Raw genomic sequence first — 25,828 nt, forward strand, 5'->3', positions numbered from 1 at the left:
CATTCCAAGGCCCAGTGGCCAGGCTTTTGGCATTTGAAGCAAGGTCCACGAGGAGGTTTTGAAGGAGCCCCTGGGAGCTGTGGCTTGGATGTTATGAAGTTTTTGTATGCTGGAGACGTGGTTGTGGGTTGTCTTACAGCAGAGGCAAGTAGCTGTAACTCAGAGATGCGTTGTCACTTGGCTGCCTCTTCTCTATTATTGTACACCTTGAAGGCGAGGTTAATTAAGTCCTGTTGTGAGGTTGAGGGCTGGAATCCAATTTTTTGGAGTTTTTTTTTTAATGTTGGGAGCAGATAAAATGCATATTGAGAATAAGATGGCCTTAGGGCTGGGCGCGGTGGCTTACACCTGTAATCCCAGCACTTTGGGAGGCCAAGGCGGGCAGATCACCTGAGGTCAGGAGTTCGAGACCAGCCTGACCAACATGGAGAAACCCCGTCTCTACTAAAAATACAAAACTAGCCTGGCGTGGTGGTGCATGGCTGTAACCCCAGCTTCTCGGGAGGCTGAGGCAGGAGAATCGCTTGAACCCGGGAGGCGGAGGTTGCAGTGAGCTGAGATCGGGCCATTGCACCCCAATCTGGGCAAAAAGAGTGAAACTCCATCTCAAAAAAAAAAAAAAAAAAAAAGAATAAGATGGCCTTCTGGCCCTTCTGGGTCTAGGGCAGTAAAGCATCTAAGAGTTGTTGCCAAATGGGCCATGAACTGGGCTGGGTTTTTATATTTGATGAAAAGGAGCCTAAGCACTAACTGATTTGGGAGAGGTCAGATAAAGAAAAAGGAGCATTAACCTTGACTGTGCCTTCAGCTCCAGCCACCTCTTTAGGAGGAAATTGTTGGGCAGGTGGGGGAGGGCTAGTCACGAAACAAAACTGTAAGCCAGACCAGGTATGAGGAGGGGAGGTGATAGAAGGATTATAGGGTGGGGGAGTGGAGGCCGAGGAAGAATTGGGACCTGGCTCGGCCTGGTGAGGAGCAGCCTGGGGAGAAGGGGAGAGGTCAGATGGGTCCGTAGAAAAGGAGGATTTAAAGGACTCAGAGCTTGGGGTGGAGACTGAAGGAACACACAGGAGAGAAAGAAGAAAGATTTGGAACGAGTTGCATTGGGAGCAGAGACTAGGGAGGGACCAATGTGTGAAAGAATGCCTGGATGTCAGGCACCTCAGACCATTTGCCCATTTTTCGACAAAAATTATCTAGATCTTGTAGGATGGAGAAATCAAAAGTGCCGTTTTCTGGCTATTTGGGACCATTGTCGAATTTGTACTGGGGCCAAGCAGGGTTGTAGAAGAAAATAAGGTGTTTTGGTCTTAGGTCAAGTGTAAGTTGAAGAGGTTTTAAGTTCTTGAGAACACAGGCTAAGGGAGAAAGGGGAATGGAGGGTGGAAGTTTGCCCATAGTGAAGGAGGCAAGCCCAGAGAAAAGAGAGGGTAGAGACTTGGAGTGGGTGGTGGTACTTGCCACCCAGGGGAGGAGGTACTTGCCACCAAGGGGAGGTGGTACTTGCCACCAAGGTGAAGGATCAAGGCAGGCATCCCCGTGGTGATCAGACACCTCTGAAATGTGAGTGAATAATCAAGCAGGCGTTCCTGCAGTGATTGGACACCAAGGGAAAACTGTCTTCCCGAGTCTGTGACCAATGCCAGAGTTTTGGGTGCACAGATAAAATGTGTCTCCTTTGTCTCTACTAGAGAGGAAAAAACTGGAATTGGAAGGACAGGGAGATTAAAGGGTAGTGAGAAGGCTGGAGAAGAGAGTGAAAAGGCCGCTTACCCAATTTTAAATTGGTGAGATGTTCCTTGGGCTGATTGATGGGAGGACGCGAGGTCATAGGTGGATCTCCTCATGCAGTGAGGGTGAGGACAGGGGACCAGTTTCCCGAAGGAGTCCTCCTGTCCTGGGTCTTCAGCACCAAATGACACACACGTCCGTGTGAAGAGAGTCCACCAACAGGCTTTGTGTGAGCAACAAGGCTGTTTATTTCACTTGGGTGCAAGTGGGTTGAGTCCGAAAAGAGAGTCAGCAAAGGGAAATGGGGGTGGGGCAGTTTTATAGGATTTGGGTAGGTAGTGGAAAATTACAGTTAAAGGGGGTTGTGCTCTTGTGGGCAGGGGCGGGGGTCACAAGGTGTTTGGTGGGGAGCTCCAGAGACATTATCCAGGAGAAGGAATGTCACAAGGTAATGTCATCAGTTAAGGCAGGAACTGGCCATTTTCACTTCTTTTGTGGTCCTTCAGTTGCCTCAGGCCATCCGGATGTATACGTGAAGGCTTGGGCTCAGAGGCCTAACAGTAGGACATAAAGAAAATGAGAAGAAAATTATCTGAAGGCTGGTTATTCAATGTTAGGGTTTGCTATTTTTTTAAAATCTTACTGCCTTTTTGTTGCAGGACTTTTTTTTTTTTTTGGGAAAAACAGAGTCTCACTGTGTCTCCCAGGCTGGAGTGCAGTGGTGCAAACTCGGCTCACTGCAAACTTTCCTTCTCAGATTCAAGCCTCAGCCACCTGAGTAGCTGAGATTACAGGCCCACACCACCATGCCGGGCTAATTTTTGTATTTTTAATAGAGACGGGGTTTCACCATGTTGTCCAGGCTGGTCTTGTACTCCCAACCTCAAGTGATCCTCCTGCCTTGGCCTCCCAAAGTGCTGGGATTACAGGCATGAGCCACCGTGACCAGGCGTTCATGAAAAATTTTCATGACATTCTGTGAGGTGGGTGGACCATAATTTATTGTACCACATTTATTTATTTATTTATTTATTTATTTATTTATTTATTTATTTATTTTTATTTTTTGAGACATAGTTTCGCTCTTGTTGCCCAGGCTGGAATGCAATGGCGCAATCTCGGTTCACTGCAACCTCTGCCTTCCAGGCTCAAGCAATTCTGCCTCAGCCTCCCAAGTAGCTGGGATTACAGGCATGCGCCACCACGCCTGGCTAACTTTTTTTGTATTTTTAGTAGAGACGGGGTTTCTCCATGTTGATCAGGCTGGTCTCGAACTCCTGACCTCAGATGAGCCGCCCACCTTGGCCTCCCAAAGTGCTGGAATTACAGGCGTGAGCCACCGCACCCTGCCTATTGTACCATATTTAGTTTCCCAATTTTTTGCTATATAATATTCCATGAATATCTTTGCCCAAAATTTTTGTAGATTGTTTCTAAGAATAGTTCATCAGCATTTTAAGACATCCTATTAATATTAGCGGACTGCAATCAGATTGAAGTAGTTCACAAATAGATGGGTTTTAGCCTGTATTTGTTCAATACTGAACTATTGTATGTATCAGGCACTGTTATGTATCAGGCACTGTTCTCAGCACTTGTAAAATGTATATGTGCTGCTGACAAGCATGAGCACTTGTAAATGAACAAACTAAAATCCCTACTCTTGTTAAAGTGGGGGAGGTGAAGAATTTTAAAAACATCTTTTTTCGTTCAACCTTCTCCCACAACTTATCTTTCATTCTGCTAATGGAAAATATTACTTTTGTTCTTAAATATGAAGCTTTTGTGTGTAAAAAGTATTAGAATCTCATGTTTTTGAACAAGGTTGGCAGTGGGTTGGGAGGAGGGATTGGAGATTGATGCGATAGGAATGTGAAGGGATAGCTTGGGGTGGATTTTATTTTTTAATTTTAATTTTTATTTTTTGAGATGGAGTCTTGCTCTGTCTCCCAGGCTGGAGTGCAGTGGTGTGATCTCAGCTCACGGGTTCAAGCGATTCTCCTGCTGCAGCCTCCCGAGTAGCTGGGATTACAGGAGCGCGCCACCACACCCGGCTAATTTTTTTGTATTTTTAGTAGAGACGGGGTTTCACCATGTTGGTTAGGCTGGTCTAGAACTCCCAACCTCATGATCCGCCTGCTTCGGCCTCCCAAAGTGCCGGAATTACAGGCGTGAGCGACTGCACCCGGCCGCTTGGGGGTGGATTTTTAAAGAAACTTTAGAAGAATGTAACTTGCCCAGATACCATGTACCGTTAATTTCATTTTCGGTTTTTTGAATACCCATGTTTGACATTTCTCCGTTCACCTTGATTAAATAAGGTAGTATTCATTTTTTAGTTTTAGCTTTTGGATATATGTGTAAGTGTGGTATGCTGTCTAATGAATTAGACATTGGTACTGTCTTTACCAAAACTGGACAAAGAGCAGGCAGATGCAAAAATCAAGTGACCCAGCAAACCAGACACATTTTCTGCTCTCAGCTAGCTTGCCACCTAGAAAGACTGGTTGTCAAAGTTGGAGTCCAAGAATCGCGGAGGATGTTTAAAATGCAGTTTCTCAGGTTCTCGCCACCCACCAGAAGTTTTGATTCATTGAGTGGTGGGAGAGGGCAGAGATATTTGCGATTTTAACAGCATTCTCTTGATTGTGATGCAGCTGGTTCGCAAATAGGTACCCTAAAGAAATGACAGGTGTTAAATTTAGGATGGCCATCGCTTGTATGCCGGGAGAAGCACACGCTGGGCCCAATTTATATAGGGGCTTTCGTCCTCAGCTCGAGCAGCCTCAGAACCCCGACAACCCACGCCAGCGCTCTGGGCGGATTCCGTCAGGTGGGGAAGGCCAGGTGGAGCTCTGGGTTCTCCCCGCAATCGTTTCTCCAGGCCGGAGGCCCCGCCCCCTTCCTCCTGGCTCCTCCCCTCCTCCGTGGGCCGGCCGCCAACGACGCCAGAGCCGGAAATGACGACAACGGTGAGGGTTCTCGGGCGGGGCCTGGGACAGGCAGCTCCGGGGTCCGCGGTTTCACATCGGAAACAAAACAGCGGCTGGTCTGGAAGGAACCTGAGCTACGAGCCGCGGCGGCAGCGGGGCGGCGGGGAAGCGTATGTGCGTGATGGGGAGTCCGGGCAAGCCAGGAAGGCACCGCGGACATGGGCGGCCGCGGGCAGGGCCCGGCCCTTTGTGGCCGCCCGGGCCGCGAAGCCGGTGTCCTAAAAGATGAGGGGCGGGGCGCGGCCGGTTGGGGCTGGGGAACCCCGTGTGGGAAACCAGGAGGGGCGGCCCGTTTCTCGGGCTTCGGGCGCGGCCGGGTGGAGAGAGATTCCGGGGAGCCTTGGTCCGGAAATGCTGTTTGCTCGAAGACGTCTCAGGGCGCAGGTGCCTTGGGCCGGGATTAGTAGCCGTCTGAACTGGAGTGGAGTAGGAGAAAGAGGAAGCGTCTTGGGCTGGGTCTGCTTGAGCAACTGGTGAAACTCCGCGCCTCACGCCCCGGGTGTGTCCTTGTCCAGGGGCGACGAGCATTCTGGGCGAAGTCCGCACGCCTCTTGTTCGAGGCGGAAGACGGGGTCTGATGCTTTCTCCTTGGTCGGGACTGTCTCGAGGCATGCATGTCCAGTGACTCTTGTGTTTGCTGCTGCTTCCCTCTCAGATTCTTCTCACCGTTGTGGTCAGCTCTGCTTTAGGCATATTAATCCATAGTGGAGGCTGGGATGGGTGAGAGAATTGAGGTGACTTTTCCATAATTCAGGTGAGATGTGATTAGAGTTCGATCTGCGGTGGTGGCAGAGGCTTACAAGAAACACTAACGGGACATGGGAACCAATTGAGGATCAGGGAATAAAGTGTGAAGTTGACTAGGAGGTTTTCAGTTTAGAACATGGCAGAGACATTCTCAGAAATAAGGAAGTTAGGAAGAAAGACCTGGTTTAGAGAGGAGGGCGAGGAAGTGGTTTGGAAGTGTCACTTTGGAAGTGCCAGCAGGTGAAAATGCCCTGTGAACAGGACTGGAGCTGAAAACAGGAATCAATTCCATAGATTTCCAGTTGATGTTGGAGCAGTGGAGAAGTCTAAGCTAAGGAAGGGGAAGAGGAGGCCAAGGCAAACACTTAGGAACACTTGCAACGAGGGGGTGGAAGAAGAGCAAGGAGCCAGCTGAGGAGAATGAGTGTGGTTGGAGAACCACCACAGCGCAGGGTCGCCAGAGCTGAGGAAGGGGAGGGAAGCTTCAGGAAGGAAAAGGTTGGCAGGGATTTTGAGTGTTAGGCCTGGTGTAGCAGAAGGAACAGAAGATTTAGAGCAGCGCTAGCCAATAGAAATAAAATGTGAGGCCCGGGGCGGTGGCTCACGCCTGTAATCCCAGCACTTTGGGAGGCCGCGGGGCGGATCCTTGAGCTGAGGAGTTCGAGACCAGACAACACGGCGAAACCCCGGCTCTACAAAAAATTAGCTGGGCGTGGGGGCGCGCGCCTGTAGTCCCAGCTGCTCCCAAGCGAGGCTGAGGCAGGAGAATCACTTGAACCCGGGAGAAGGAGGTTGCAGTAAGCCAAGATTATGCCACTGCACTGCAGCCTGGGCAAAAGAGTGAGACTGTCTCAAAAAAAAAAAAAACCTGTTTTGTTTTTCTTTTGGAGAAAAGGCATACAAATTTATTAGCATGCAGACTGGGAGAACCACAAGGTGATTATCCCTATTTTAAATTTTCTAATAAACATACTATTATTTATTTATTTATTTATTTATTTATTTATTTATTTATTTTTTGAGACGGAGTCTGGCTCTGTCGCCCAGGCTGGAGTGCAGTGGCGCGATCTCAGCTCACTGCAAGCTCCGCCTCCCGGGTTCACGCCATTCTCCTGCCTCATCCTCCCCAGCAGCTGGGACTACAGGCGTCCGCCACCACGCCCGGCTAATTTTTTTGTATTTTTAGTAGACACGGGGTTTCACCGTGTTAGCCAGTATGGTCTCGATCTCCTGACCTCGTGATCCGCCCGCCTCGGCCTCCCAGAGTGCTGCGATTACAGGCGTGAGCCACCCTGCCCGGCCGGCTATTTATTTTTTTAGAGATGGGAGCCTCACTATGTTGCCCAGGCTGGTCTTGAACTCCTGGAGTCAAGTGATCCTCCCGCCTTGGCCTCCCAGAGTGGTGGGATACAGGCACAAGCCACTGTGCCTAGCCATAAACACATTTTTAAAGGTAAAAAAAGGCCGAGCGCGGTGGCTCACCCCTGTAATCCCAGCACTTTGGGAGGCCGTGGCGGGCGGATCATGAGGTCAGGAGATCGAGACATCCTGGCTAACACGGTGAAACCCCATCTCTACTAAAAAATACAAAAAAAAAAAAATTAGCCGGGCGTGATGGCGGGCGCCTGTAGTCCCAGCTACTCGGGAGGCTGAGGCAGGAGAATGGCGTGAACCCGGGAGGCGGAGCTTGCAGTGAGCGGAGATCGCGCCACTGCACTCCAGCCTGGGCGACAGAGCCAGACTCTGTCAAGAAAAAAAGAAAAAAAATGTAAAAAGAGGCTGGGTGGCCGGGCGCAGCGGCTCACGCCTGTAAACCCAGCACTTTGGGAGGCCGAGGCGGGTGGATAACCAGATCAGGAGATGGAGACCATCCTGGCTCACGCGGTGAAACCCCGTCTCTACTAAAAGTACAAAAAATTAGCCAGACATGGTGCCAGGCACTTGTAGTCCCAGCTACTCGGGAGGCTGAGGCAGGACAATGGCGTGAACCCAGGAGGCGGAGCTTGCAGTGAGCCGAGATCGCGCCACTGCACTCCAGCCTGGGCAACAGAGTGAGACTTCGTTTTTTTTTTAAAAAAAGGCTGGGCACAGTGGCTCACACCTGTAATCTGCCAGCACTTTGGGAGGCCGAGGCAGGTAGATCACCTGAGGTCAGGAGTTCGAGACCAGCCTCGCCAAAATGGTGAGACCCTGTGTCTACTAAAAATACAAAAAATTAGCCGGGTGTGTTGGCGTGTACCTGTTATCCCAGCTACTCGGGAGGTGAGGCAGGAGAATCGCTTGAACCCAGAAGGTGGAGGTTGCAGTGAGCCGAGATCATGCCACTGCACTCCAGACTGGGCTACAGAGCGAGACTCCATAAGAAAAAAAGAAAAAAAAGGGGGGCAAAAAGAAACAGATGAAACCAATGTGAATAATTTATTTTAACACAATATACCTAACATATTTTTATTTCAATATCTAACCAGTATAAAAATTTACTTGTTTTGCCCTCTAGAGATAGTAAGCTCCTTAAGTAAACAGAAGTAATACCTGATTAATTAGAATTCCCAACCCTCATCAAGTGTGTGCTTATATAGAAGAAACCCAGTAAATGTTTGTTGATTGAAAGATATTAATACTCTTGCTTGGATGAGAGTGAGGAAAAAGGTATTAGTATTGGCTTTTCACAACGCCTTGTACGGTTTCTTGTTTAAGTTGATCAAAGCAAAAGAAAGACTGCAGGCAATGCTAAATATAACAAGTGATTTACAAATTAATTAGACGTAAATAATCATTTTTCATTAAAAATTAGTTGTATTCTGTCCATTTCCTCAGAATTTTAGACAATGATTTTGAATAATCATATCTCCCTTATAGAGTTATTGAAATTAAATAACTTATTGGGAAAGATTCTTTATAATTATACAAAGGTATATAGGACCATAGTCTCATATCCAGAGTTCTGAAATCCGAAAACTAAAAGGTTTTTCTTTTTTTGCTATTCTTTTTTTTTTTTTTTTTTTTTTTTTTGAGACAGAGTCTCCCTCTGTCGCCCAGGCTGGAGTGCAGTGGCACAATCTCAGCTCACTGCAACGTCCGCCTCCCAGGTTCAAGTGATTCTTCTGCCTCAGCCTCCCGAGTAGCTGGGACTACAGGCGTGTGCCACCACACTGGGCTAATTTTTGTATTTTTAGTAGAGGTGGGGTGTCACCATATTGGCCAGGCTGGTCTCGAACTCCTGACCTCGTGATCCACCCGCCTCAGCCTCCCAAAGTGCTGGGATTACAGGTGCGAGCCACTGCACCTGGCCAAGGTTTTTTATAACTAATTTAACAGCAAAATCTGGCCTAGTTATCGTCTTTATTTTCTTTTTTTAATGTGATTTAAAACTATTCATTTGTTTCACTATAGCTTAATAATTTGTTTGCTTTTCTGCTTCTAAGACCCTGTAGGGGCATTATATAACTTCTGGCATTTGCATAGTACCTTTACAAAATCCAAAAAAATCTGAATTCTAAACACATTTAGTCCTAAAAGTTACAGATAAGGGATTCTGGACTTGCGATTCTAAGTCTTTGTTCGTTTTTATTGCATTTTCTGAGCCAACATAACCATTATTTAAAAACAAGTTGCTATAGTAACTCTACATTACAGACCTCCCCCAAACTCAGCAGTTCAGAGCATGTATTCTCACTCAGGGCTCTGCTTCCTTGTAGGTAGATGTGTGGATCGGTGAGGGCAGTTCTTATTTGTATGCCTTATTCTGGGGCCCAGGCTGAAGGGGCAGTGGCTATCCATGATAAGCTTTTCTCAAGGCACCAGCAGAAGTACAAGAAGTCAAGGCCAACTGCATAAGCATAGTTCAAATGTCTGGTTATGCCACATCTGCTAAGATTGCATTGACCAAAGCAAGTCACATGATCATGCCCAAAGACTTAGGAGTGGGTAGTAGACTGCAACCACCATGCAGCCAAGCAAACTACAGAGCCAAGCCTATAACATCACTGGAGAGAGGTGTATTCCTCCCTTGGCCAGGCTGGGGGAGGGAGTGAATATTGGCTGAATAATAATCTAATCTACCACAGATGGTTAACAGAGGTGGAGTGGGATGGAAGGAGAAAAAAAAAAAATCACCAAATGGGATGTATCACTACCCTTGCTCTTTTTAGCGTCTGCTGCTTTCACAAAGCCTTTTATAGGGCTGGAGAAATGATTTGCTCCTAGTCTCTTAAAAACCAGAGGAGTCTTTTGAGGATGTATTCCTAAAGTTTTTAAATTAGTTTAAAAATTTTTTTTATTAATTTCAATTATAGGCTGAGCACAGTGGCTCACGCCTGTAATCCCAGCTAAGGTGGTGGATCACCTGAGGTCAGGAGTTCGAGACCAGCCTGGCCAACATGCTAAATGAAACCCCCATCTCTACTAAAAATACAAAAATTAGCTGGGCATGGTGGTGGGCGTCTGTAATCCTAGCTACTCAGGAGGCTGAGGCAGGAGAATTGCTTGAACCCAGGAGGTGGAAGTTGCAGTGAGCCATGATCGTGGCATTGCATTCCAGCCTGGGCGACAAGAGTGAAACTACATCTTGGCCGGGTGCCGTGGCTCACGCCTGTAATCCCAGCACTTTGGGAGGCAGAGGCTGGCAGATCACGAGGTCAGGAGATCGAGACCATCCTGGCTAACACAGTGAAACCCCGTCTCTACTAAAAATACAAAAAATTAGCCAGGCGTGGTGGCGGGCACCTGTAGTCCCAGCTACTTGGGAGGCTGAGGCAGGAGAATGGCCTGAACCTGGGAGGCGGAGCTTGCAGTGAGCTGAGATTGTGCCACTGCACTCCAGCCTGGGCGACAGAGGGAGACTCCGTCTCAAAAAAAAAAAAAAGAAAAGAAACTACATCTCAATAATAATAATAATTTCAATTATAGGTTGGAATTTAGAGTTCGGTTACATTTACTATTGGATGTGATCCTTTAAAAACTCAAGTAGAGGCTTTTCCAGCCCATTCATAACATTAGAAGTTGGGCCGCCTGTCCAGGGAGAAGCTTTCAAAGTAACACTGAGGCTGATTAAATACTTTTGTAAAATAAAGAATAAATCACAAGCTCATTGGCACTTGAAACTTAGCATTGCAGTGCAGATGCAGCAGAAAATACTTGTAGCAGTTTTCTCAGTGAAAGAGAAACTAGTCAAGTAGCTTAGAGACATTAAAACAAGCCACAAGCCCTTTGTGCTAGAGATCATGGTTAAAAGTCCCCTGAAGATGTTTTTCCACAGTAGAAATTTTGTTTATATTTATGTCTGAGAGTGAAAAAAGAAAATGGAATCAATAAGTAACCATGTTCTGCAGGAGTTTGAGGTTTTGTTGTTACATTGGGATGTAGTGAGAGAAGAAAACGTATTAATTCTTTTCTGTTGGTACTTTCTTGAATTACATTTTTAATAAACTTATTGTGAGATTCTGAACATTGCTCCTGTGATAATTTCTGAAGTGCTGATGAGTAGAAGGTTTTCTGGTTAGACTTCTGTTCAGCACATCTGAGCTTCGAGATTATTTGTAGTTCTCCTGGGGCTTTTAAAATCTCTTTGTATATAATAGATAAATGCTAGTTTCCCATCAGAGAAGGATTTCTTTTTCCTTTTGTCTGATTGAGCAAGTGTCTTGAGATTAAGAAAATGGATGTCAGTGAATTCAAGTGTTGTGCTCTGTCAGTTTGCAGCAGGTGACCAGAGAGCAAAAACACCAGAGTAGATTCTGTCCCTACTCCCACCTACTCCTCAATTCGGGTCCCATGAAAGATCCTCAGATCTGGGTAACTGTTGTTGTTTTTGTTGTTCACAGGGCTAAGAATGTTCATGGCTAAGAATGTTAAAAAGTCTCCTAGTGTCTTTTGCCACGCTGCCTGAACAGTGGGGTCATTGACCGCCATGCAATCCTCAATTGTTTTCAGCTGATACTGGACCGAAATCAAATCTAGCTTTGCCTGCCCCTTTCTTTGTACCAGTAGCGCTTGTTTGTTCACCAGGCCTGACTGAAGACCTAGCCCTGTTGCCTGCCTCTGCTTCCTACCGAGCCCCCTGTAAAGAGCAGCTCTCCCAGGGAGGCTCACCTTGTAGCATTGTGATCTTTGGAAGCATCAAGGGAGGCACAAGATTTCTCTGGGTGAACTGGAAAAGACTTGGGCTGGGCATCAGAAGACTTGGGTTCTGCAACTGGCATTGTTTACACTCTCTCTGTAACTCTGTGCAGGCAAAATCTTTCACCTTTTCTGAGTTTTTTTTTACATGTCAGTACAGATTCCTTTCCTCATGAGGTTTCTTTAAGACTCAAATGGAAGAATAGATGTGAAAAGAACTTTGAAGATAGTATTGGAAAATGCTAAAGTGACTGCTGTGTTATTGATGATTTTTATGGGATTTGTCTGAGAAAGCTCCAGTGTGACCAGTTTGTACCAGCTTGTATGGTTTCTTGTAATAACCGAACAGATCCTGTTAGCATAGGGTAAAAATGGAAACTACTTCTTTTAAAATGACCAGTGGCTGCAGTGGCTCAGGCCTGTAATCCTGGCTAGTTGGGAGACTGAAGTGGTAGGGTTGCTTGAGGCCAGGCAAGACCAGCCTGGGCGATACAGCAAGACCCTTTCTCTAAATAAAAAACTAGCCACCCATGTAGTCCCACCTGCTTGGGAGGCTGAGGTGGGAGGATCGACTGAGGCCAGGAGTTCAAGGCTGCAGTGAGCTATGATTGCCACTGTACTCCAGCCTGGGTGACAGAGTGAGACCTTGTCTCTTAAAAAAAAAAAAAAAAAAAAAAAAAAAGATTTGCATTATAGCTTATCTTTTTTTTTTTTTTTTTTTTTTTGAGATGGAGTCTCACTCTGTCACCCAGGCAGGAATGCAGTGGCGTAATCTCAGCTGACTGCAACCTCTGCCTCCTGGGTTCAAGCAATTGTCCTGCCTCAGCCTCCCGAGTAGCTGGGACTACAGGTGCACGTCACCATGCCTGGCTAATTTTTGTATTTTTTGGTAGAGATCGGGTTTCACCATGTTGGCCAGGCTGGTCTGGAACTCCTGACCTTGTGATCTGCCCACCTTGGCCTCCCAAAGTGCTGGGATTACAGGCGTGAGCCACTGCGCCCAGCCAGCTTATCCTTTTTTAAAAAAACATAAATACTAGGATATTGAGATTATTGAAAATGCTTTTGGTGCTTCAGTTTTGAATTTATACTTAGAGCAGTTTTTGAAGTTTAAGATCTCATTTACTTCTAAGTAATAGATTTACTAGTAATCAAAATCGCTTCAAAATACCGTAATCCTCATTGCTGTAAACTCCTACGGGGCAGGTTTGGAGTTTTATAAAGAGGCAATATAGTGTACTCTGTGAATTCCAACTCCTCACTTGCCAGATGTGACCTTAAGCAAGTGAACTTCTGTGTGCCACACTGTTTTCATCTGTAAAAGGATAAAGGGAATATCATAAATTAGTTTGTTAAGCCTTAGTTTAATAATGTCTCTAAGTTTTACATATAAGTAGACAGTGTCTTTCTTGTTTAGTGAATAATCATTCTTATTATTTAATAGTATCTCTACTAAATTTATTGTGTAAGATTATACTAATCTTGTTTAGTGCGTGGTAATCACTTCTGCTCATATTTAACCTATAAGCATAATATAGTTTATTTATATACCATTTATTTATTTTATTTTATTTTTTGAGATGCAGTCTTGCTCTGTCACCCAGGCTGCGGTGCAGTGGCGCAATCTTGCTTCACTGCAACCTCCACCTCCCAGGTTCAAGCGATTCTCCTGCCTCAGCCTCCTTAGTAGCTGGGATTACAGGCACGAGCTACCATGCCCAGCTAATTTTTGTATATTTAGTATGGACAGGGCTTCACCATGTTGGCCAGGCTGGTCTCGAACTCCTGGCCTCAAATGATCTGTGTGCCTCAGCCTCCCATAGTGCTGGGATTACAGGCATGAGCCACTGCGTCCGGCCTACTTACCTTTTATTTTTGCTTGCATTACCCTTTCTTTGCCTTGTTTCATTTGGCTAAGACTGTCTTGTTTACTTGCTTTGCTTCTGAGGGATTATATGAGAGTTCTATGGGTTTTTCCATAATGGAGTGTACTTTTATTATTTTATTATTTGTTTTTTTGAGACAGGGTCTCACTCTGTCACTCAGGCTGGAGTGTAGTGATGCAGTCACTGCTCACTGCAGCTTTGACTTTCTTGGCTCCAGTGATCCTTCCACCTCAGCCTCCTGAGTAGCTGGAACCACAGGCACCCACCACCCACACCCAGCCAATTTTTTTTGTATTTTTAGTAGAAACAGGGTTTCACCATGTTGGCCAGGCTAGTCACGAACTCCTGGCCTCAAGTAGTAACACCCATCTCAGCCTCCCACAGTGCTGGGATTACAGGCATGAGCCACCGAGCCCGGCCTCATGCAATTTATTGACTACTTCACTGAAAGTGAACTTGTATGGATACTCAAAAAGTACAGTTTGTATTGAATACATATTGTTTTTGCATCATACTAAAGCTGAACAGTTCTAAACTGAACTGTCATCAGGGACCGTCTGTATTGTGAAATCTTAATTTTGTCCATATTAAAAGACAGGAACAGGGCTGGTTCGTGGTGGCTCACACCTGTAATCCTAGCACTTTGGGAGGCTGAGGTGGGTGGATCACTTGTGGTCAGGAGTTTGAGACCAGCCTGGCCAACATGGTGAAACCCAGTCTCTACTAAAAATACAAAAATTAGCTGGACATGGTGGTGCACACCTGTAATCCCAGTTATTCGGGGGGCTGAGACACGAAAATTACTTAAACCCAGGAGTTAGAGGTTCCAGTGAGCGAGATCGTGCCACTACATTGCAGCCTGGGTGACAGAGCAAGACTGTGTCTCAAAATAAAGACAGGAACAAAGGTATCGATAACTCTTAAGTATAGGTTAAATTCCCACAAAAATCTAGTTTTAAAAAATCTTTTTTTTTTTTTTTTTTTTTAAAAACAGAGTCTCACTCTGTTGCCCAGGCTGAGTACAGTGACGAGATCTTGGCTCACTGCAGCCTCTAATTCCTGGACTCAAGCCATCCCCCCACCTCAGCCTCCTGAGCATTTGGGACTACAGATGCATCCCACCTGCACCCAGCTAATTATTTTTTTGTAGAGATAGTGTTTTCCTATGTTGCCCAGGCTGGAGACTGATCTGCAACTCCTGGCCTTAAGCTCTTTATTTTTTAAGCAAATTTGCACTGTTTTCAATTAATATGAATTTGCATTTCGCTGATCTCATGCTAGCTGACAATGGGCTGAAGGTGAGGGGAGGAGAAAGATGGACATGGTACATAAAAGCATGTATGATAAAGTGGAATGTCACCTTGGTTAAAAATGTGTAATGATTTGAATGATACAAATATAAGTAGTTAAGGGTTATTTTGAACTTGATACCTTTGCTGGAGGAAAAATTACTTTATGCATTTTTGATGAAAAATCATTAGAAGAAAAAAAATGGAATATTTAGAGGAAAGAGTATCCTGATGTTAAAAGTGAAAATGAAATAGGACATTGAGAAAATTTTTTTATGTAAATGTGTATATGGTAATGTATTAATTAGCGTTAGGTATGTACACGGATTTTTGCCTTCTATATTTCTGAAAACCTTCTGTGAAAAGGAAGAGTTGAAATCATAAAGAATTGGCTGATGGAAATTAAGGTAGACAGGCAAATGGGAATGTGGCCCCCCTAGGAGGGTGAACTCTGAGAGACACAGTCATCCCTGTAAATAAGGCTGCGCCAAGATCAAAGGAGAGGTCTGAGGCTGGGAGTCAGGAGTCAGCCATTCTTTTTTTTTTTTTTTTCTGCAACCTCCACCTCCTGGGTTCAAGCTTTTCTCCTGCCTCAGCCTCCTGAGTAGCTGGGATTACAGATGCGCGCCACCACACCCGGCTAATTTTTGTATTTTTAGTAGAGATGGGGTTTCGCCATGTTGGTCAGGCTGGTTTCGAACTCCTGACCTCGTGATCCGCCCGCCTTGGCCTCCCAAAGTGCTGGGATTACAGGCATGAGCCACCGCTCCTGGCTGAGTCTGCGATTTCTTGCCAGCTCTACCCAGTTGTGTCATCTTAAGCAAGTCACTGAACTTCTCTGGATTCCCTTCTCCTTTTGTAAAATAAGCATGTTATCTGTCCGTCCTGCCTTGGGCATTGTGATAAGGATAAGATGACATTATAGAATTTTGCAAAATTAAAAGCGCTAGACAAATGATTTTATGAAAATATAAAGATTAGGTTGAATTTGGTCAGCATAGAAAAAGGAATGTTGAGAACATTCCTTAAGATTACTCAGCTCCCTTTGCTGGAAATCAGAAGTCATTAAGTATCTTTGTGGTTGAAAATGTTTGGTGTCTCAGGCGGTTCTACTTATTGCTAAAGAGGTCTACCTTGAGCTTATAGTAAATTTGTCAGTTAGTTGAAAGTCGTGACAAATTAATACATTCCTGGTTTACAAATTGGTCTTATAAGTATTTGATTGGTTTAAATGAATTTACTAGGATTTAACTAACAATGGATGACCTGGTGAAATCCTATTTCAGACCTAATCTGGGAGCCTGCAAGTGACAACAGCCTTTGCGGTCCTTAGACAGCTTGGCCTGGAGGAGAACACATGAAAGAAAGGTTTGTTTCTGCTTAATGTAATCTATGAAAGTGTTTTTTATAACAGTATAATTGTAGTGCACAAAGTTCTGTTTTTCTTTCCCTTTTCAGAACCTCAAGAGGCTTTGTTTTCTGTGAAACAGTATTTCTATACAGTTGCTCCAATGACAGAGTTACCTGCACCGTTGTCCTACTTCCAGAATGCACAGATGTCTGAGGACAACCACCTGAGCAATACTGTACGTAGCCAGGTACAGTGTCAGTCTCTGAAACTGCCTTTGCCAGACTGGATTCACTTATCATCTCCCCTCACCTCTGAGAAATGCTGAGGGGGCTAGGCAGGCTTTCTCTACTTTACCACATTTATAATATATTTGGTGAACTTCAGCTGATTGCTGGAGGACACAGGGCTGTTTAACACATAGGTGTTGATACAGTTCCTACCTAATTCACATATCACCACCTCAGTTGAAGCCTTCTCCAGCTTCCCAAGGTGTGCAGCGCCTCATAGTTCATGTTGTTTATTATTTTACCTATCTTGCTCTTATTCTTCTACGGCTGAGTCCATTTTATTTACTGTATTCATTACCTAACAGTTCCTTTTAGTGCTCAGTAAATATTCATTATGATTGTACAATGCAAGGATAAGTGTAGAAGTTCTAAGGGTTCAAAGGAGGGATTCAGGAAAAGAACGTAATCTGTGCTGTCGGACAAAGAGATTCCTCACCAGCTACATACACAGACATGAAATTTGACTGCAACTCTACTAGCTAATCATCATAAAGTGAGAGCAGAGGCCAGGCACGGTGGCTCATGCCTGTAATCCCAGCACTTTGGGAGGCTGAGGCGGGCAGATCACCTGAGGTTAGGAGTTCAATACCAGCTTGGCCAACATGGAGAAACCCCATCTCTACTAACAATACAAAAATTAGCCGGGCTTGGTGGCAGGTGCCTGTAATCCCAGCTACTCAGGAGGCTGAGCCAGGAGAATCGCTGGAACCCAGGAGGTGGAGGTTACAGTGAGCTGACGTCGCGCCATTGCACTCCAGCCTGGGCGACGAGCGAAACTCCATCTCAAAAATAAATAAATAAACAATAAATAAATAGAGAAAAAGAAAGAAAAGAAAAGAGAGAGAGCATGGATGTCCTGTGAGACAGTTGGAGTATCTATAGGATTTTTAGAGGTGGACCCAGAATAGAGGAAAACACAAGGCCAACTATAAGCTATCCAGTTGCACTAGGTGTGGGGTCAGATTTTCCTCTGTTAGGACCAGAGAGCAGAGCTAGGAACAGTGGTGGAAGTTACCAGGCAATAAGGTCTGGATCAATAAAAAGAACTTTCTCATAGCCTGGCATGGTGGTGCATGCTTGTAGTCCCAGCTACTCAGGAACTCAGGAGGCTGAGGTACGAGGATTGCTTGTCTAAGAGTTTGAGTCCAGCATGGGCAACATAGAGAGGTTCTGTGTTTTTTTTTTTTTAATTTTCCCACAGTTATGGTACATCTGGGCTGCCTTGTAGGCTTGTGTGTACATTTCACTACAAACAGTCACAAAAGGCTGAAAGGCCACTCCAGCAAGATCTGTAGAGGATTAGTCCGTGAATTCCGCAGTTGAACTAGAGCACTGAATGGCGTGGAACTTCCTTTTACACTCTGAAGATTTAGGATTCTTCACTTTTCCCATCAGTAAAATTAGGTAATTTACTAGATAATTTGAAAATTCTTTCCCAGCTGGGAAGTTTTGATGTGCCCAGAAGCTAGGATGGGCAGTTGTCCAGGTTTGTTTAAAACTAGAGGTTCTAGAACACAGGACTTTCAGTTTTAAAATTGGGACAGTCCTGAGCAGTAGGATCAAGTCAGTTGTCTACCAGAGTATAATCAAATTGAAATAATTTTGGATCTGACTAACCAAGTCTTATTCAATTAGTTGACATTGTTGTTTAACTTCGAGTACTATTACAGTTCTATATTGTTATAGTTCAAATAGAAGATAACATCTAAAGCATTTCTCATTCCAAAGGTTAAATCTTGCCTTTAGCTTCATTTCTTCAACTCTAAGCAAATACTGTGACGAGCTGCTATAGCCTGGAAAATAGTTTTCCTTTTGTGGGCTGCTGTGCATAATCTCATTCATAGTAAAGGGATTTGAAGTTTGATGACAGAATAGTCAGAGAGCTGAAGTTGTGTTTGTTTTTTTAGCCCAAATATTTATTTCTCAAGTTTTTGTTGTGAAATGTTTCTAGCACATACAGAAAGTATGGCACATAATGTAATAGGCACCCATGTACCTATCACCCAGCTTTATTAAACCTTAACATCTTATTTGCTGTTTTTTTGATAAGCTTTTTTTGCTTCTATTGCTTATTGATCCTACACTAAATGAAATCCTAACTAAACAAAACAAGATTTTGCATTTAATTTGAAAAGAGACTAGTTATATGACAAAAAATTGCAGATAAAATTGAAGTGCTCCTCCCCCATTCTTTTTCCTCTTTTCTCAGGATAGTTACTGTCCTGAATTGGGTATTTACCATGTTTAATAAAATTGAGTATTAGGCTTACTATAATATTTATGTACATAAATCGTATCGCATTATGTAATACACTTGGCATGTTTTAAAACTTTAGGCTGGGTGTGGTGGCTCACGCCTGTAATCCCAGCAATTTGGGAGGCCGAGGCTGGTGGATCACAAGGTCAGGAGTTCAAGACCAGCCTGGCCAACATGGTGAAACCCTGTCTCTACTAAAAAAAAATGCAAAATTTAGCCAGGCGTGATGGCAGGCACCTGTAATCCCAGCTACTCCAGAAACTGAGGCAGAGAATTGCTTGAACTCTGGAGGTGGAGGTTGCAGTGAGCCAAGATTGCACCACTGCACTCCAGCTTGGGCAACAGAGTAAGACTCTGTCTCAAAAAAAAAAAAAAAAAAAAAAAAGCCAGGTGCGGTGGCTCACGCCTGTAATCCCAACACTTTGGGAGGCCGAGGAGGGCGGATCACGAGGTCAAGAGACAGACCATCCTGGTCAACATGGTGAAACCCCGTCTCTACTAAAAAAATACAAAAATTAGCTGGGCGTGGTGACACGCGCCTGTAGTCCCAGCTACTTGGGAGGCTGAGGCAGGAGAATGGCATGAACCTGGGAGGCGGAGCTTGCAGTGAGCCGAGATTGCACCACTGCACTCCAGCCTGGGCGACAGAGTGAGACTCCATCTAAAAAAAAAAACAAAAAAAAACTTTATGTGGTTTATGTCTGAAAGTTGAAGAGAATTTCCACATATATGTTAGTATATGTTGCAAAAGAGACATTCCTATGTAGAATTTTGGGCATTCATGTATATGTAGATGCATGTAGCTCTAGCATTTGTTTTCTCTTGTGAATATATAAAAATAATTCTGTTTACAAACATTTGGTAGGTTCCAGTTTTTCACAATAACTGACAGTGCTGCAGTGACATACTAATTCATTAGTCTGTGTGCACTTGTGTGAGTTTCTCAAAGATAGTTGCTGTGATTGGATATATGGATCTTAGAACTATTTTAGAGATTGCTAGGATTCTTCCAAAGTGTATATTGCAGGCCAGGCATGGTGGTTCACGGCTGTATTACATCTATCTCAGAAAAATAAGAGAAGAAAAGCATGGGTGATCTTGGTGATTTCCCCCTTTCATTTTCTAAATGTTCTATAATACAGTTATTTAATAATTTAAAAAGCTATTTTGAAAAAGTAATCTCACGCTGTCACCAAAGCTGGAGTGCAGTGGTGCAATCTAAACTCACTGCAACCTCGACCTCCTTGAGACCAGGGTGGTCTCAAGTGATCCTGCCACCTCAGCCTCCCAAGTAGCTGGGACCACAGGCTCATGCCACCACACCTGGCTAATTTCTTGTATTTTTGGCAGAAATGAGGTTTCACCGTGTTGCACAGTCTGGTCCTGAACTCCTGAGCTCAAGTGATCCACATGTCTTGGCCTCCCAAAGTGCTGGGATTACAGGTGTGAGCTACTGCGCCCAACCTAAAATATTTTATATATATATATATATTTTTTTTTTTTTTTTTTTTTTTTTTTTTTTTTTTGAGACGGAGTCTCGCTCTGTTGCCCAGGCTGGAGTGCAGTGGCACGATCTCGGCTCACTGCAAGTTCTGCATCCCGGGTTCACGCCATTCTCCTGCCTCAGCCTCCCAAGTAGCTGGGACTACAGGCGCCCGCCACCATGCCTGGCTAATTTTTTGTATTTTTCATAGAGGCGGGGTTTCACCGTGTTAGCCAGGATGGTCTCGGATCTCCTGACCTCGTGATTCGCCCGTCTCGGCCTCCCAAAGTTTTTTTATATTTTTTAATGTGAGGAAAGGTCACAAAAGAATAGTATGCTACCTGAGGAATATCTCTGGAAAGGGATCAAGCATTCGAGGTTTTCTGTGATGACTGACTAAAGTCATGGAGTTAGAACAGCTGATACAAAAGAAACCAAAAAAGGCCAGGCATGGTGGCTCACACATGTAATCCCAGCACTTTGGGAGGCCGAGGCAGGTGGTCAGGAGTTTGAGACCAGCCTGGCCAACATGGTGAAACCCCATTTCTACTAAGAAAAAAAAAAAAAAAAAGTCAATGGGTGTGGTGGCATGTACCTGTAGTCCCAGCTACTCAGGAGACTGAAGCACGAGAATTGCTTGAACCCAGGACTCAGAGGTTGCAGTGAGCTGAGATTGTGCCACTGCACCCCAGTGCAGTGTGACAGAGTGAGGCTGTCTCAAAAAAAGAAAAAAAAAACCCACAAAAGCTCGGTAGCATGAGATCTTTGAGAGCATTCTTATGTTCTTATTGGTAATTGGAGTTTATATTATGCCCTTGTCATCAATAATAGCTTCAGTTATGTTTCTTAGTCTCCATTTGAAAAAAGAAATATTCGCTGGGCATGGTGGCTCACGCCTGTAATCCCAGCACTTTGGGAGGCCAAGGTGGGTGGATTACTTGAGGCCAGGAGTTCCAGACCAGCCTGGCCATCACGGTGAAACCCTGTCTCTATTAAAAATACAAAAATTAGCCAGGTGTGGTGGTGCGCCCTTGTAATCCCAGCTACCTGGGAGGCTGAAGCAAGAGGATTGGTTTCAAGGTTCACCTGGGAGGTCAAAGCTGCATTCAGCCAAGATCACACCATTGTACTCCAGCCTAGGTGACAAAGTGATACCCTGTCTCAAATAAATACATAGACAAAAAGCAAACCTATGAGCTATTTAAAGGACCTTGAGGAGAAAAAAAATAAATGAAATGGGTGATCTAAATTTAAATAGAATCTGCAGCTCTGGTTAGCCTTTGACAGTGTTGTTGTATCATTATAGTTATGAATTTGTTTTCTCAGTTGTGTTAAAGTGGAGTAAGGCAAAAAAGAACTTGAAATCTCAACGACCTCCAGAGAAACATGCTAGCTTTTGCATGAGTAAAATCTCTTAGGCACAAATATTAATAATATGTTAAGAAACTTTAGGCTTAAGCCTAACATAACAGCCCCATAAGTGTTCAGTATTATCTCTAACCAGTTATGTCAACTGTTTGTGGAAATGACAGCCTTTCTTGGCATTAGAGGAATGGTTAAACCTCTGACTCCAGGGAATCACAAAGCTTGGTCAGATGCTGAATGGAATTATGTGTGTTGTTGGAAGCATGTTCCCTATGATTAATAAATGTTTTCAAGTTTTCCACTTAACTTGCCAGTTCTTTGGTTAAGCCACTCTTCTAGTCCTGTCCTACAGAGCAGGCTTAGAGCCCCACATTTGTCATTGTAGAAATTCAAACAATATCCATTAAGTCATTTTTTTTTTTTTTGCCCATTAAGTCTTAAAGGATTAATACATTTTCTTTCCTTTTTTTTTTTTTTTTGAAACGGAGCCTCCCTCTGTCGCCCAGGCTGGAGTTCAGTTGTGCGATCTCGGCTCACTGCAGCCTCTGCCTCCCAGGTTCAAGCGATTCTCCTGCCTTAGTCTCCCGAGTAGTTGGGATTAACAGGGTTGTGCCACCACACCTGGCTAATTTTAGTATTTTAGATAGAGATGGGGTTTCACCATGTTGGTCAGGCTGGTCTCGAACTCCTGACCTCAAGTGATCTGACCACCTAGGCCTCTCAAAGTGTTGGGATTACAGGCATGAACCACCGTGCCTGCCAATACATTTTCTTACAAATATTAATTATTGAAAAAATGTATTTTAAGTAAATATTCAGACTATAAATATATCAGCATAATTGAATACATTATAACCACGTAGGCATGTTAACTGCTTACATGCGTGCATGAAATATTAAGGGAAAAGGGCAGAATATAATATTTGTAAACACAACTATGTATACCTGTGTGTATATATTGAAAAACGTTAGCATTTGGGGTGTCGTAAAAATAAGTTTCTGTTTTCTTTATAAAATTACCTAAATTCATATTCAACTACACACAATTATAAACTTAATTGCAGAGCTAGGTGTGGTGGCTCATGTCTGTATTCCTAGTACTTTGGGAGGCTGAGGCAGGAGGATCCCTTGAGGCCAGGAGTTTGAGACTAGCTTGGGTAACATAGCACGATCTTGTCTCTACAAAAAAAAAAGTGAAAATTAGTGGGGTGTGGTAGTGTGCTTCTATGGTCCCAGCTACTTGGGAAGCTGAGGCAGGAGGATTGCTTGAGACTAGGAGGTCGAGGCTGCAGTGAGCTGTAATCATGCCACTGCACTTCAACCTGGGCAGCAAAGTGAGACCCTGCCTCAAAAAAAGAAAAAAATGTGTGGCAAAAACTGCCATGAACAAAGTCCAAAACAAACTAGGACAAAGGCTTGAAATATATGACAGATATATCCCAATATACATAGAATTCTTATGAAATTAAAAGGAACATGAACAACTTAACTCAGTAGCAAAGGTTACAAGCAATATTTATGGAGTAAGAAATAGAAATGGCAATAAATATATGAAAAGCCTAGTTGATCAGCCTTACTAATAGGGATAAAAATTAAAACTTCACTTCTTACCTATCAGTGAGTTAAAATTGATACACTGCTGCTGAGGTTGTAGGGAAATAGGCTTTCTTGTATGCTGTGTTCTTTGGAGTTAAGTTAGTATTTATTTGGAGGCAAGCTCTTAATTGAATCTACAGATACACATGCCTTTTGGAAATAATTTAGCAATTAAATCTAACCTAATCTGATCTCACCTAGCATTTCACTTCTGAAAGTTTATCCTATAAAAATATTACCATAGAAGTGCCAAGAATTTTTATTGAAGTTTTATTTATAACAGTGAGAATGTGGCAGTAATCTCAATCTTTATCATTAATTGCTTATGGTTTACCCAGTTAGTAGTGTAAAGGTACTAGTTAACAGTAGGGTCTCTTGACTAAACAGTTGGACTTTGAATCTCCATTCTAGAACTTCTTAGCATTATGATCTTTGGCAAATTAACTGGCCTCGCTAAACTTCAGTTTCTTTATCTGTTAAATGAAGTTTATAGCAATTAACTTAGAGTTTTATTTAAATTAAATGAGATAAACTGAATGATTAGTACACTACCTAGCACATACTTGTTCAATAAATATTAACATTTCTTATCAAAATTGCCATATTTAAGAATGAGGTATATTTATATGTCTAGCATAGAATCAAATATATATTATCATTATTATTTTTTTTTTGAGACAGGGTCTCCTTCTATCACCCAGGCTGGAGTATAGTGGTGTGATCATAGCTCAGTGCAGCCTGTAAGTCCTGGGCTCAAGTGATTCTCCCATCTCAGCCTTGTGAATAGCTGGGAGTACAGGTGTGTGCCACCATGCCTGGCTAATTTTTTTTGCTGTTAGTTTCACTTTTTTTGTAGAGCTGGGGTCTCGTTATGTTGCCCAGGCCGGTCTTGAACTCCTGGGCTCAAGCGATTCTCCCGTCTCGGCCTCCTGAAGCATACAGATTTTTTAGGGCAGTGAATCTATTCTGTATGATACTGTAATCATGGAAACCTGTCATTATCTGTTTATACAAACCCATAGACTGTATAACACCAAAAAGTGAACCCTAAGGTAAACTGTGGACTGTCAATGTAGGTTCATCTGTTGTAACGGTTTACCACAGTGGTGCAGGATGTTGATAGAGGCTGTTGGAGGGGTTATGTGGGAACTCTGTGTACTTTCTGCTCAGTTTTGCTGTGGATCTAAGTTTGCATTTAAAAATATTTTATGGCTTGGTGGCTCATACTTGTAATCCTAGCACTTTGGAAGGCTGAGGCGGGTGGATCACTTGAGTTCAGGAGTTTGAGACCAGCCTGGGCAACATGGTGAAACCCCATCTCTATGAAATAAAAAAAAAAGTAAATAATACTAATAGTAATTAACTGGGTGTGGTGGCATGTGCCTATAGTCCCAGGTACTTGGGAGGCTGAGGTCGGAGGATGACTTGAGCCTGTGAAGTGGAAGTTGCAGTGAGCAGTGATCATGCCACTGCACTCCAGCCTGGGCAACACAGCCAGACTCGGTCTCAAAAAATAATAATAATAAAATAAATAATATAAATAAAAATAATATTTTGAAAGAAAAGAGCTATCAAGCCACAAATGCAAAAGGCTTCAAGTTCCTATCTTTTAGAAATACATACTAAAATATTTATGAAGGAAATGATATATCTAAGATTTGCCTCAAAATAATACTGGAGTGGCAAAGTGAGCGGGGGAGTAGATGAAACAAGATTAGCATGAGTTCATAATTATTGAAGTTGAATAAATTGCACATGGGCTTCATTGTACATTTCTGACAGTATTTGTTTGAACTTTTTCCATAATAAAAAGTTTTGTTTGTTTTTTTTTTTGAGATGGAGTCTTGCTCTGTCACCCAGGCTGGAGTGCAGTGGCATGATCTCGGCTCACTGCAAGCTCCGCCTCCCAGGTTCACGCCATTCTCCTGCCTCAGCCTCCAGAGTAGCTGCGACTACAGGCGTCCGCCACCATGCCCAGCTAATTTTTTGTAATTTTAGTAGAGATGGGGTTTCACTGTGTTAGCCAGGATGATCTCGATCTCCTGACCTTGTGATCCGCCCGCCTGGGACTCCCAAAGTGCTGGGATTACAGGCATGAGCCACCACGCCTGGCCTTTTTTTTAAAATGGTCTTACAGGTAATACCATGCATGCTTAAGTCATCATTCTCATATTTAGCTACCAAGATTTTTCCTTTCGGAAATCCCTCAGTATTCTAGTACCACTTTCCTCTCATTTGACACTTTTCAAAGCACCTACACACTCCCTTGAGAAAGATACCTTTTTTTTTTTTTGCGAGGGAGTTTCACTCTTTTGTTGCCCAGGCTGGAGTGCAGTGGCATGATCTTGGCTCACTGCAACGTCTGCCTCCTGGGTTCAAGCGATTCTCCTGCCTCAGCCTCCTGAGTAGCTGGGATTACAGGCACGCACCACCACACCCAGCTAATTTTTTTGTATACTTTTTTTTTTTTAAGTACAGATGGGGTTTCACCGTGTTGGCCAGGCTGGGCTCAAACTTCTGACTTCAGATGATCCGCCTGCCTCGATCTCCCAAAGTGCTGGGATTACAGGCGTGAGTCACCACGCCCAGCCCAAGAAAGATACATTTTTAAAAACAGCTTTATTGTGGTATAATTGACGTAAAATGTACATACTTAAAGTATACAGTGTGATGTTTTGATATATATGTATACTCTTGAAACCACCACCACAGTTAAAATAATGAAA

General features: G+C 43.8%; 1 protein-coding gene across 10 annotated transcripts in view, besides 3 other annotated features; it reads left to right on the top strand.

Annotated features, from left to right (window-relative positions):
• Window positions 4,542–4,621: a silencer, noted in NCBI's record as "silent region_5904". NCBI's record gives its function as "represses an Ori minimal core promoter by ATAC-STARR-seq in GM12878 lymphoblastoid cells {active_cell/tissue: GM12878}" and the evidence as "EXISTENCE:reporter gene assay evidence [ECO:0000049][PMID:35858748]".
• PSEN1 (presenilin 1) overlaps window positions 4,672–25,828 on the top strand; it is an 87,275-nt gene continuing 66,118 nt past the window's right edge. The window contains exons 1-3 of one of the 10 annotated variants that reach the window (XM_047431602.1): window positions 4,672–4,703; window positions 16,050–16,131; window positions 16,222–16,349. In XM_047431602.1, coding sequence (XP_047287558.1) covers window positions 16,275–16,349 — 75 coding nt within the window. In that variant the 5' untranslated portion in view covers window positions 4,672–4,703; window positions 16,050–16,131; window positions 16,222–16,274. Of the gene's footprint in view, window positions 4,704–4,761; window positions 6,408–16,049; window positions 16,132–16,221; window positions 16,362–25,828 lie in introns of those variants that run through there. The other 9 variants (XM_047431601.1, XM_047431600.1, XM_011536974.3 and 6 more) reach the window with 9 other exon arrangements.
• Window positions 4,882–4,941: a silencer, noted in NCBI's record as "silent region_5905". NCBI's record gives its function as "represses an Ori minimal core promoter by ATAC-STARR-seq in GM12878 lymphoblastoid cells {active_cell/tissue: GM12878}" and the evidence as "EXISTENCE:reporter gene assay evidence [ECO:0000049][PMID:35858748]".
• Window positions 5,112–5,221: an enhancer, noted in NCBI's record as "active region_8694". NCBI's record gives its function as "activates an Ori minimal core promoter by ATAC-STARR-seq in GM12878 lymphoblastoid cells {active_cell/tissue: GM12878}" and the evidence as "EXISTENCE:reporter gene assay evidence [ECO:0000049][PMID:35858748]".

This window comes from Homo sapiens, chromosome 14 (genome assembly GCF_000001405.40).
Source record: "Homo sapiens chromosome 14, GRCh38.p14 Primary Assembly".
NCBI classification, from domain to species: Eukaryota; Metazoa; Chordata; class Mammalia; order Primates; family Hominidae; genus Homo; species Homo sapiens.